Source organism: Homo sapiens, chromosome 19 (genome assembly GCF_000001405.40).
Source record: "Homo sapiens chromosome 19, GRCh38.p14 Primary Assembly".
Lineage (NCBI taxonomy): Eukaryota > Metazoa > Chordata > Mammalia > Primates > Hominidae > Homo > Homo sapiens.
In genome coordinates, this window is record NC_000019.10 from 42,545,188 (window position 1) to 42,558,492 (window position 13,305).

The 13,305-nt window shown below is 51.8% G+C and overlaps 1 long non-coding RNA gene across 2 annotated transcripts in view, besides 2 other annotated features; it reads left to right on the plus strand.

Annotated features, from left to right (window-relative positions):
• LIPE-AS1 (LIPE antisense RNA 1) overlaps window positions 1-13,305 on the plus strand; it is a 255,208-nt gene that overhangs the window by 148,040 nt on the left and 93,863 nt on the right. The gene's annotated exons all lie outside the window — the stretch shown is intronic.
• Window positions 3,417-3,617: a silencer, noted in NCBI's record as "peak3492 fragment used in MPRA reporter construct". NCBI's record gives its function as "represses an SCP1 promoter by STARR-seq MPRAs in K562 erythroleukemia cells {active_cell/tissue: K562}" and the evidence as "EXISTENCE:reporter gene assay evidence [ECO:0000049][PMID:32103011]".
• Window positions 8,257-8,457: a silencer, noted in NCBI's record as "peak3493 fragment used in MPRA reporter construct". NCBI's record gives its function as "represses an SCP1 promoter by STARR-seq MPRAs in K562 erythroleukemia cells {active_cell/tissue: K562}" and the evidence as "EXISTENCE:reporter gene assay evidence [ECO:0000049][PMID:32103011]".

Consider the following 13,305-nt stretch of genomic DNA (forward strand, 5'->3'; position numbering starts at 1 on the left):
GTGTCCTTATGGTAGAATGATTTATATTCCTCTGGGTGTATACCCAGTAATGGGGTTGCAGGGTCAAATGGTACTTTTGTTTTTAGCTCTTTGAGGAATTGCCATACTGCTTTTCACAATCGCTAAACTAATTTACATTCTCACCAACAGTGTATAAACGTTCCATTTTCTCTCTCTCTTTTTTCTTTTTTAGACAGTCTTGCTTTGTTGCCCAGGCTGGAGTGTAGTGGCACAGCCTCAGCTCTCTGCAAACTCCACCTCCTGGGTTCAAGTGATTCTTGTGCCTCAGCCTCCTAAGTAGCTGGGACTACAGGCGTGCACCACCACGCCTGGCTAATTTTTGTATTCTTAGTAGAGTCGAGGTTTCATCCTGTTGGGCAGGCTGCTCTTGAACTCCTGGCCTCAAGTGGTCCTCCCTCCTTGGCTTCCCAAATTGCTGGGATTACAGGTGTAAGCCACCGTGCCCAGCACATTCCTTTTTCTCTGCAACTTCAGCAGCATCTGTTATTTTTTGACTTTTTAATAATAGCCACTCTGGTGTGAAACGGTATCTTACTGTGGTTTTGATTTGCATTTCTCTAATAATTAGTGATGTTGAGCATTTTTTCATATGCATGTTGGTCCATATGTTCAAGCTTTTGAAAAGCATCTGTTGATGTTCTTTGCCTTTTCATTGCTTTCCCCTTATTTATTTTATTGCATGGCTACACTGTGATGCTTTATCCACTCGCCTATTGGATTTGACGCTGTGTCCCACTCTTCATGTTGACAAGACATTCTGCAGTGACTATCCTCATACACATATCTTTTCCCCACGTGGAGTATTAATCCAGGAACTCATTCATTCAGCTCTTATAAAGTACCCTGGCCAGGCTGTGGGCAGGTCAAGGGCTTTAACAGAGACAGGGCAGGCACAGTCCTGCCTTCTCAGAGCTCACCGCTCAGTGGGACTCTCAGAAGTGGGATAGTGGTCAAAGCGTATGCACACTGAACACAATGAGGCCAGGGCTGGGTGTGATGGCTGAGTTCAAACCTGCAATTCCAGAGCTTTGGGAGGCCAAGGCAGGAGGTTGCTTGAAGCTAGGAGTTGAAGGCTGCAGTGAGCTATGATCATGCCACTGTACTCCTGCCTAGGCAACAGAGCGAGACTCCATCTCAAAAACCTCCACAAGACCTAAAAAATCATGGGCCAAAGTTGTTGTTGTAAGTACTGCAGTCCCATCAGGAATATATGAAAATGTCCATCTCCAGTATCCCCACCTTTCTTGGAATAATGATTGAAGTAGAAAGTGCCCGTGTTCTTGTGCCTACCTCTGCCCACACACCGTCTTCACTTACACTTAGTCATCCACCACTTACCCTTTCACTAAGTGCTATTGATTATGTCCATGTGGTGGACCAGATGCCAGGAGCCCCAAGATGTCCTGAGCAGCTCCCTCTGCTCGTCCTTCCAAGAGTTCTGGTTCCACAGGTGACCCCTGTAGAACCTGTGATTACCACTGAAGGCTGACAGTGAGTGGTGGGTGTTCCAGGAGGGGCCGTCACCTCCATGTACAGGGTTGGGGAGGGTGGAAGGGAGCAAGTGGCTGATGGCTTTGGCTGTAAGGCAGGTGGACAGGCTGATGTGGGCTCCTGGGAAGGGATGGAGAGGGGAGGGGAGGGGAGGGGAGGAGAGGGAAGGGGAGGGAAGAGAAGGGAATGATACAGAGGTTGGAACCTGCCTTCATGGACCAAGAACAGCAGGGAGGCCATCCAGGCTGCAGCTGGGGAGGGAAGATGTGGGGAGTAGTGGGTGAAGGGAGAAGCAGACTGTGATTGATCTTGGGGGCTGGGCGGTGAGCAGAGGTGTGTTACGTGTCTGTCCCTGCCATTGATATGAGGAGGGGTGGGGCTGTGGGTGACACCTGGGTCAGTGGGATTTCCTAGTGTCTGCTGTTCCCCAAAGCCTCTCCATATAGAGGGTCAGTATAGATCTGATGCTGTGTCTGGGGGAAGGGGCTGGTGGTCCGAGGCAGCCTGTGGTGCTTACTGACCCTAGGGATGAAAGGAAAGGGATGAGGAAGCCTCTTTACAGTGAAGCCTCAGGTATGTGAAGCCACAGGTGTCTCACCTGGTGACTGTCATCAGACATGTGCCTTGGGTGACAGTTTCAGGGTTCAGGTGGTTGTTATTGTTATGATGTTTGCCTGACAAGGACCCAGGTATCCAGGGATCGAGAGCACAAGACCCCTGGTGAGGGGAGGGTCAGATGAGAATGAGCAGGTTCAAGTGGTCAGAGTGGGAGGGATTCCTGGAGAGACTGAACCTCAACTCTTCCTGTCAGGAGCTGTGGCTGTGTCCAGGAGAGATGACAAGGGTGACCCAGGACATTGAGTGAGTCATCGAGACATTGGATATGAGGACAGGGCAGAGAGGACCCTGGTGACTGCTCAGATGTGGGATGTGAGGAGGGCTCTGACTCATGCAAGTTACAGGATCCCCCAACCCCTGAGCCCACAGGTGACCCTTACACTGGGGATTCTGAGTGCTGTGTGTGCCCAGAAGGGACACTGGATTGGCTGGACCTGAGTCCCTGAAGGGCAGGGATGGTCTGTAGGGCCAGAGTCTTCTCTGTGGGTGTGATGTAAGCAGGAATGAGCAAGATGGGGGTGATAAGGCTTGGCTTGGAGGAGCTGGTAGAGGAGCCCAGGGGCTTGGGTCAGCTCCGCTTCCCAGGGGCTCAGCTGGGGCTGGAGGAGCAGGATGCTGTGCTCAGGGTGTGCTCCAGGCAGGGTGATGTGTGTGGTTCCAGGGTCAGGCAAGAGGGTAAAAAATTAATCATGAAAAATTCCCACCTTTTGTAGGCAGAGACAGTGGCCTGAGTGTCAGGGGCAGAAAGATGCATCATGAGGCAGGAGCAGGCACTCAGCCTCCCAGAGACCACACCCTGGGTGCAGCACTCAGCCCTGCAGGGAGTGGCAACAGATGTGCCTACAACCCTAACGTCCAGGCACCTGCAACAAATGTTTCTCCCTCATTGCATCTTTCTCATGTGGAATAGAATGGGCAGTGATATGGTTTGGCTGTGTCCCCACCCAAATCTCATCTTGAATTGTAATTCCCGTAATCCCTACATGTTGTGGGAGGGACCTGGTGAGAGGTAATTGAATCATGGGAGTCGTTCCCCCATGCTAGTCTAATGATAGTAAGTTCTCATGAGATCTGATGGTTTTATAAAGAGCCTCCCCCTTTGGTTGGCTCTCATTCTTCTCATTGATGCTGCCATTTGAAGGACATGTTTGCTTCCCCTTCTGCCATGACTGTAAGTTTCCTGAGGCCTTCCCAGCCATGCTGAAGGTGAGTCAATTAAACCTATTTCCTTTTTAGATTACCCAGTCTCCAGCAGTTCTTTATAGCAGCTTCGGAACGGACTAATACAGGCAGCTTTTCCCGCAGTCTCTTTCCATCCATGTGCTGCCTGCTGTGATGCCTGGGAATGGGGGGGGGGGGGGGGCGGGCACTGAGTCACTGTCCAGGGTGCTGATGTCCATGAACTGTTGAAGAGCTAATGAGTTGTGATCTCCCAGTTACTTCTGCTTTCATTTATTCTTAACAACTGAGCATGTCACCAAGGAAAAGATAGAGAGGTACTAGGGGCATGGAGAGCCCTCTGTCTCTCTCTCTCAGGACCTGGAGGGTGCTGGGGACATCACTACAGTCAGGATGACCTCATCCAGGTACCCATGTATAGTTTGTAGTGAATGATGATGAGAAAATGGCCTTGAGAGGAGTGATGGGCAGAACAAGAACCTCTCAAAGATGTGCTCATCCTCATCCCCATATCTGTGAATAAGTCTCATGGTAAAAGACACTTTACAGATTAAAGGAAAGATCATGAGATGGGGAGTGATAAGGCTTGGCTGTGTCCCCACCCAAATCTCATCTTGAATTCCTATGTATTGTGGGAGGGGCCTGGCGGGAGGTAATTGAATCATGGGGGCAAGTCTTTCCCATGCTGTTCTTGTGATAGTGAGTGGGTCTCAGAAGATCTGATAGGTTTATAAGGGGGAGTTTCCCTGTACAAACTCTCTTTTTGCCTGCTGCCATCCATGTAAGACATGACTTGCTCCTCCTTCCCTTCTGCCATGATTTTGAGGCCTCCCCAGCCATGTGGAACTGTAAGTCCATTAAACCTCTTTCTTTTGTAAATTGCCCAGTCTCAGGTATGTCTTTATCAGCAGCATGAAAACAGACTAATATAGTAAATTGGTACCAATAGAGTGGGGTGCTGCTGAAAAGATACCCCAAAATGTGGAAGCAACTTTGGAACTGGGTAACAGGCAGGGGTTGGAACAGTTTGGAGGGGTCAGAAAAAGACAGGAAAATATGGGAAAGTTTGGAACCTCCTAGAGACTTGTTGAATAGCTTTGCCCAAAATGCCGATAGCAATATGGACAATAAAGTCCAGACTGAGGTGGTCTCAGATGGAAGTGAGGAACTTGTTAGGAACTGGAGCAAAGGTGACTCTTGTTTTGTTTTAGCAAAGAGACTGGTGGCATTTTGCCCCAGCCCTAGAGATTTGTGGAACTTTGAGCTTGTAAGAGATGATTTAGGGTATCTGGGGGAAGAAATTTCTTTTTCTTTTTTTTTTTTTTTTTTTGAGACAGAGTTTCACTCTTATTGCCTAGGCTGGCATGCAATGGTACGATCTTGGCTCACTGCAACCTCCGCCTCCTGGGTTCAAGTGATTCTCCTGCCTCAGCCTCCCGAGTAGCTGGGATTACAGGCATGCACCACCACACCTGGCTAATTTTGTATTTTTAGTAGAGATGGGGTTTCTCCATGTTGGTCAGGCTGGTCTTGAACTCCTAACCTTAGGTGATCTGGCCACCTCGGCCACCCAAAGTGTTGGGATTACAGGCATGAGCCACCACACCCAGCCTTCTGGTGGAAGAAATTTCTAAGCAGTGAAGCATTCAAGAAATGACTTGGGTGCTGTTAAAGGCATTCAGTTTTATAAGGGAAGTGGAGCATAAACATTTGGAAAATTTGCAGCCTGACAATGCAGTAGAAAAGAAAATCCCATTTTCTGAGGAGAAATTCAAGCTGGCTGCAGAAATTTGCATAAGTAATGAGGAGCCAAATGTTAATCCCCAAGACAATGGGGAAAATATCTTCAGGGCACGTCAGAGTTCTTCACAGCAGCCCCTCCCATCACAGGCCCAGAGGCTTAGGAGGAAAAAGTTTCATGGGTTGGGCCCAAGGTCTCTGTGTTGTGTGCAGTGTAGAGACTTGGTGCCCTGCATCCCATCTGCTCTAGCTGTGGCTGAAAGGGGCCAACATAGAGCTTGGGCCATGACTTCAGAGGGCGCACGCCCCAAGCCTTGGCAGCTTGCATGTGGTGTTGAGCCTATGGGTGCACAGAAGTCAAGAATTGGGGTTTCAGAACCTCCGCCTAGATTTCAGAAGAGGTATGGAAACGCCTGGATGCTCAGACAGGAGTTTGCTGCAGGGGCAGGGCCCTCATGGAGAACCTCTTCTAGGGCAGTGCAGAAGAGAAATGTGGGGTTGGAGCCCCCACACAGAGTCCCTACTGGGGCACCACCTAGTGGCACTGCGAGAAGAGGGCCACCGTCCTCCAGATCCCAGAATGGTATATCCACTGACAGCTTGTACCATGTGCCTGGAAAAGCTGCAGACACTCAATGCCAGCCCATGAAAGTAGCCAGGAGGGAGGCTGTATCTTGCAAAGCCACAGGGGCGGAGCTGCCCAAGACCATAGGAACCCCCCTCTTGCATCAGCATGACCTGGATGTGAGACATGGAATCAAAGGAGATCATTTTGGAGCTTTAAGATTTGACTGCCCCACTGGATTTCAGACTAGCATGGAGCCTATGGCCCATTCGTTTTGGCCAATTTCTCCCATTTGGAATGGCTGTATTTACCTAATGTGTGTGCCCCCCTTGTATCTAGGAAGTAACTAACTTGCTTTTGATTTTGCAGGTTCATAGGCAGAAGGGACTTGCCTTGTCTCGGATGAGACTTTGGGCTGTGGACTTTTGAGTTAATGCTGAAATGAGTTAAGACTTTGGGGGACTGTTTGGAAGGCATGATTGGTTTTGAAATGTGAGGACATGAGATTTGGGAGGGGCCAGGGTGGAATAATATGGTTTGGCTCTGTCCCCACCCAAATCTCATTTTGAATTACCACATGTTGTGGGAGGTAATTGAATCATGGGGGCAGGTCTTTCCCATGCTGTTCTTGTGATGGTGAGTGGGTCTTATGAGATCTGATGGTTTTATAAGGGGGAGCTTCCCTGAACAAGCTCTCTCTTTTTGCCTGCTGCCATCCATGTAAGACATGACTTGGTCCTCCACCTTCTGCCATGATTGTGAGGCCTCCCCAGCCATGTGGAACTGTAAGTCCATTAAACCTATTTCTTTTGTAAATTGCCCAGTCTCAGGTGTGTCTTTAGCAGCAGCATGAAAATGGACTAATACAGGGAGATTATTGTGGTTTATCCAAGATGTGTCCAAAATAACCACAAGGCCCCTTTCTTATAAGTAAGAGAGGGAGGCAGGTGTGGGTGGAGATGTGGAGACAGAAGCAGAGGACAGAGTGGTTTCAAGATGCTGCACTGCTGTCTCTGAAGATGGAGAAAAAGGACACAACCAAAGATGTAGGCACCCTCTAGGAGGTGGAAAAGGAGAAGAAGCGGACTCTGACCTGGAGCTTCCAGAAAGCACACAGCCATGAGGGCGCCTTGGTTCATGTTTTTATGTCACTCAGCTTGTGGTAATTTGTCATAGCATCAACAAGAAACTAAAAAGGTGTCACCTTTCCTCATCTGACGGTGTGTGCAGGTGGGATAAGGGGTCATTTAGAGTTAAATCCTGATGCAAATCCTGAGGTAAATCAACCCATTACCAGTTGTTTTCTTACCTCTCATCTCATGATGAACAGCCTGTGGCAGTGGCAGAACACCCTTGGGAACCATGGCTCTGTGCTTTAGTGCAGGGACTGGCTTGTTTGTCGGAAGGTGCTGCCCGGTCCAAGTGAACCTACATGAGATTGTCACCCTTCCAGGGGCCCTCAGGGAAGGGCTGAGAACCGCTGGCCCAGGTGTGTGGAGGAGCTGCAGGTGAGGCAGGGCTGGAGGGGCCAGGTAGAGGAGCAGACAGGTTGTCCTGTCACCATGGGAGCCTGCATGAGCTTTAGGTTGGGGAGCCCTGCTCCTCTGACCTGGATGCTCCTGTGTGGAAAGGAGGCTTGCTCAATGAGATCCACGCCAGGGGGTAAATTGGGAACTGATGGGAAATGAGGGGCTAGAGTCCTGGGTAATGCCTTGGAGGACCTTGCTCGAGGACTGAATTTTTGGTCTGTCCCCACCTTGATTACTCTGACAGCCCCTCTCTGTGTCCCACCAGGGGTAAAAATGTCCTGAGCAGTGGCCACTGGGACAGAGGAGAACCTGGTGGCCAGGGCTAAGCATCCAGGATCCTGGATTTGGGGACAGGCAAACTCACTTGTGGAGGACAGTGATAGACAGGGCCGCCAGGGCCTGGGTGAAGAGGGCAGGAGGGCTCAGGACACTGGAGGCTGTGTGGGGGTCACAGCCACGATCTATACCACCCATGTATGCTCCTGCATTGCTCACCTTTGTGTGGACATCAGATGGCCCCATCTTCCACGCTCCTGAGACCCCACATGCATTCACAGAGGAACCCAGGCTGGGGCAGTGCATGGCCTTGGTCCCTGGGGTAGTGGGAAGACAGCTGAGTGCTTGGCTGGCTGGGCAGGGCTCCTGTGAATCCTGCCCTTTCCTGTGTAGGGTCCACCCCAGCCTGACTCCCAACCCCCTACTCCTGTCTCCCAGGAAAGAGAGACTGGGGTTGAGAAAAGGTGGAGATATTTTCCCTGTGTGAGCTGGGAGAGAATGGACGTGGAGTTTCAGGTGAGTTTCTGCTAAGTTCTCACGAGCAGAAAAAGAGCCAATGAGAGGAAGGTTCCCCTTTATTCAGATCCTTTCCAGGTGACCCCGGGTGGGCCACAGGCCCATTCACTTTCCCTGCAAGCCCCCACTTCCTGTGGTGATGGGAAGCCTTTGTCCTGACCCACCCAGAGCCCAGGGCAGTCTGTTGAGGTCTCCATATATTCAGCAGGGACTCCCATCCCTCCCTGTCCCCAGGCCAGTGTCTCCTCAGGACTCAGAGCTGGTTCTCTGGCTCAGGCTCCATGTCCTTCCCCATCCCCAGGGCTGGGAGCTTCGGGGACGCTCCAACAACCCACAGGAGCAGCTCCCAGAGGAACCTAAGAAACCACATCTGCTTTGTGGTTGACCCAGCAGTAAATGTTTGTGTCATGGTTTAGCAATTCCTGCAAAAAAAAAAAAAAAAAAAAAAAAAGAGAAGAGGCCTTGACCCCTGTGGCTTTCTGAGAACAGAGTCTGGTGTCTCCCAGGCTCTGGGCCCATCCAGGGCTGCTCTGATGCTGAACCTGGCTGTGCTCAGGGGGTTCCTGTTCCCAGGCCCCTTCCTCATCTGCTCACCACCCCCTGTTGTGTTTGCAGTTTCCTGAATCTCAGAGCTCAGCCAGGTGTGGGTGGGGGCAGATCCTGGGTCCCCCTGGAGCCTGCGGGACCAGAACACCTGTGACCCACACTCACCTCATAGATGGGAGCGGCTGTCCTGGGGTCGGGTAGCGGGGCCTGGGCAGGGGAGAGAGGGGATGTCAGGGGACAGAGAGGGAGAGACATGGAAGGTTCCTGTCTCTGATCGGCCAGAACTTACTTCCCTGGGTCTACTTATGGTCATTTCCCCTCAGGAGTGACCAGCTCTGCCCTTGAGCTCAGCCTCCCAGTGTGGACACAGCACCCCGACCCCTGTCCTGGCTGGGCCCACCCTGCACCCTTGTTAATGTGGGCCCCTGACTGATTCTTCCAGTGTCCACTCTGCACCTGCTGCACTCCAGGGGTCTCCTCAGGTGACGGAGGGCCCCGGGGTGGGGTCAGCACAGGGCATGGGTGGTCCTGGCCATGTAGGGAGGCCTGGATCCTGGCCGGAGGCACTCACTTTGACCTGACTGTTCTGGGGAAAGGTGGGTTTGTGCTATGCTGTGGGGTTGATGGTCCCCCTGCCCTGAACCTGTACTGCTGGGACCCCAGTAGAAAGGGGCTGGGGAGGGGATGGGCTTACAGGGTAGGTGGAGTTGTTTGAGGGACCATGGCCTGGGGGACACAGACAGGAGTCAGCAGCTGGGTGGGAGGAGAGCCTGGGCCTCTCATGGAGGAGGGCATTGGGGTCCTGAACTCCCAGAGAGTCAGGGAGACAGGGCATCTTACCAGGAGAGACCCCTCTAGCCATTTTAGGGGCCAAGTGAGCAAGTGAGTTTGCAGAGGTGACCCATGACCAAGAGCCCACAGGTCAGGGCTGACCTGGCCAGTTGGGGTCCCCTGCAATGACGTTTTATGAGACTCCTCCTTGAAGCCCCATGGAAAGGATCAGAGGACCTCAGGGGTGACTGGCAGGAGTGGACACTGTGGGCCAGGCCTAGGGGTTGCCAGCCACACCCAGGCTGAAGGGACACTGGGGAGCTGCTCTCTAAAGTCATGCTGGCCACTGGCCCTAGGAGAGGTCAGGCTTATTTGTGAGGAGTACAAGATTAAAAGCCAAACTCTGGAGTTAGAACAGGGGATGAAGAGGGGACCCTATTTCCAAAGAGGGGCATGGAGATCTCCTTTCTCCATTGGTTCTGTATCAGGAGCTGAGCCAGGTGAGGGGATCAAAGACTTTACAAAGGCACATCTGTCCTGGCCAGAGGGGAAGGACCCTCAGCCAGATGCTGGGCCAGGAGAACATTGACCCAGGGATGCAGGAAAGGAACTGAGGGCCCAGGGAAGGAACCAGATCATGGGGGTTTGCCTGAGAGGAAGGGTTAAGTCCCCAGAGGGAAAGCAGGGCCAGGCACATGTGCAGGACACTGAGGGGACCAAAGGTGTCTTGGATTCTCCCAGAACTCAGTGTCCCTGCTGTGGCCAGACCCTGCTCTCAGGGCCAGTGATGCTGAAATGGGACAACAGCCTTGTCTTCTCTCTCTACCCCTTGGCAAGAGACATAAAGGACATTCCAGGACATGCCATCCTGGCACCCAGGTTCTCTTGTCTCACAGCTCAGGGGCTGCGGGAACTGCATTAGCCATGGGGGCACTGACCCTACCCAGCCTGTCCAAGCTGTTACATCCTTCACCGTGTGACCATGCCCAGGACTCCCTCTCAGATCCTGAGCCTGCAAATCCCCCCTCACTTGGTGGATGGATTCAATAAACAGCAGGAGGTACCGGGGTTACTGAGCACTCCCTCCCCCGCTCCCTTCCTCCAGGCAGCTGTGGCTTTGCTGTGTGAGGGAACTAGGACCACACTCAGGGGTGAGACCTTAACCAGGCCGAATTCACAGAGGAGGAAGCTGTTGAGGAGGCAGCCCAGGGTCAGCAGCTGGTGAGGGAGGAGCTGTAGAATGAGAGGGAAGGATCTCTTGGGGAGGGCTCAAAGAGCCTGGCCCTGAATACTGGGGGGGGTCTTCTTCCTCCTGGCCTGGGGTCAGCCTGGGGGTGGGAGGGAGGCCAGGAAAAAGCTGTAGTACCTTCCAGTCCTGACGAGGAGCAGGAAACATGCCAGGGTGGCCACCGGTGCCACCCCGACCAGAACCCTGGTCACGATGCCAGTGAAGGCCCCCACAGGAAGGCCTGGGGCATTTTTTTCTGCAGAAAGGGGAAGGCAAAGGGGATGAAGCCCAAGTCTGTTCCAGGGGGAACCATGAGGGGCCTTGCAGGGCAGGGGCTTGTTCAGGGAGGAAGGAAATGCCACGGAGTTTGAGTGTGGTCTGTTGTGCTGTCCTCATAGCTGACTCCCTCGCTCTCTGTGGCTGCACCATTTTCTGTGTCTCAGGCTTGAAACACTGGGATGCGCCGACTCCTACGTTCTCCCCCAGGAGCCTGCACCTCGCCCTGCTCCTGTGCCTTTAAATCCCTTCTTCCTCTCACTTCATGCCTCTTACCGCTTTTTTCTTTTCTATTTTTTGTTTTTTGAAACGGAGTCTCGCTCTATCGCCAGACTGGAGTGCAGTTGTGTGATCTCGGCTCACTGCAACCTCCACTTCCCAGGTTAAAGCGATTCTTCTGCCTCAGCCTTCTGAGTAACTGGGATCACAGGCGTTCACCACCACCCCCAGCTAATTTTTTGTATTTTAAGCAGAGACGGGGTTTCACCATGTTGGCCAGGATGGTCTCGATCTCTTGACCTCTTGATCCACCCACCTCGGCCTCCTAAAGTGCTAAGATTACAGGTGTGAGCCACCGCACCTGGCCTTTTCTTCTTTTGTTTTTTTAGATGGAGTCTCGTCCAGGCTGGAGTAGAGTGGCACGATCTCAGCTCACTGCAACCTCCATCTCCCGAGTTCAGATGGTTCTCCTGTCTCAGCCTCCCTCGTAACTGGGATTACAGGAATGTGCCATCATGCCAGGCTAATTTTTGTATTTTTAGTAGAGACGGAGTTTCACCATGTTGGCCAGGCTGGTCTCAAACTCCTGACCTCAGGTGATCCATCTGCCTCAGCCTCCCAAAGTGCTGGGATTACAGGCGTGAGCCACAGCACCCAGTCTTCCCTCTGTTTCTTCTTTTCCATTCCATGATTGTCATACAGAGCTAGCCCTCGCTGTCAACTCAATGCTGATGAGCGGGGATGATGCTCTTTGACTGTTTTCGGGGGTCTTCCATGTGCCAGGCACAGTGGGCACCAACCTACCTACAGCTCATCTCATCCTCCTATCACCTTGAGGGAGGGGGGCTTCACTCCCATCTGCAGAGTTAGAATCTGAGACTTACAGTGCCTCAGTAAGTCAAGGAAGGTCACAGAACTTGTACATGATACAACCAAATTTTAACCAAGGTCTCCTTGACTTAGCTAATAACAAAGCTCATAAAAATAATAATACTAGTTGATAGCACTGATTGAGCCCTGGCTCTGTGCACTACCCTGTTAAGGGCTTTAATTACATTAATCTTCAAATAAACATCCTCACAACCATCCTGAGATCCAAGTGTTTGTTAAAATTCTACAGATGAGGAAACTGAGGCCTAGGAGGTTGAGTGTCTTGCCCAAGGTCAAACACCTGGTATATTCCCGGCACTGACTGTCAGGCCTCTGAGCCCACGCTAAGCCATCATAACCTGTGACCTGCACGTATACATCCAGATGGCCTGGAGCAACTGAAGAACCACAAAAGAAGTGAAACAGCCAATTCCTGCCTTAACTGATGACAGTCCACCGTTGTGATTTGTTCCTGCCGCACCCTAACTAATCAATTGACCTTGTGACATTCCCCCCCGGACAATGAATCTCATGATCTCTCCACCGTGCACCTTGTGACCCGCCCCCTGCCCACAAGAGATAACTACCTTTAACTGTAATTTTCCACTACCTACCCAAATCCTGTAAAACTGTCCCACCCCCATCTCCCTTTGCTGACTCCTTTTTCAGATTCAGCCCACTTGCACCCAAGTGAATAAACAGCCTCGTTGCTCACACAAAGCCTGTTTGGTGGTCTCTTCACACGGACGTGCGTAACACTGACCCTGATAGTTGACACAAGGGATTTAGTTCCAGATAAAAACTGGTGAATTCTCCTATTGTTCCTCACTCCTCAGATCAGAATCTCCCCCTCTGCACTGTGGATGCCCAAGATGAAGGGAGATGAACCCATGACTGGTCTCAGGTCTGCAGATGCCTAATAACAAGCAGCCTCACACAACCCCAGTGGAGGAGAGGAGGGGGCTGTGGCTGCAGACAGACCTCGCATGACTCTAATCTGCCACCTATGGACTGTGTTGTTATAGGAGTTATTAGGAAATTATTTTAGGGAGATAGAGAGGAAAGGGGGTCCTTGGGAAGTTTTTCTTTTTCTTTTTTTGAGACGGAGTCTTGCTCTGTTGCCCAGGCTGGAGTGCAGTGGCATGGTCTCGGCTCACTGCAACCTCCGCCTCCCAGGTTCAAGTGATTCTCCTGCCTCAGCCTCCCCAGTAGCTGGGATTACAGGCACGCACCACCATGCCCGGCTAATTTTTGTGTGTTTAGTAGAGATGGAGTTTCACCATGTTGCCCAGGCTGGCCTCCAACTCCTGACCTCAGGTGATCCACCCACCTCAGCCTCCCAAAGTGCTGGGATTACAGGCATGAGCCACTGCTTGGCCAGTTTTTGTTTCTTTTAAAGCAGTTCCAGAAATGTTGCTTGTCTAGCAGAAAAGCCCCAGCTCTTAGAGCCTGGCTGGCAA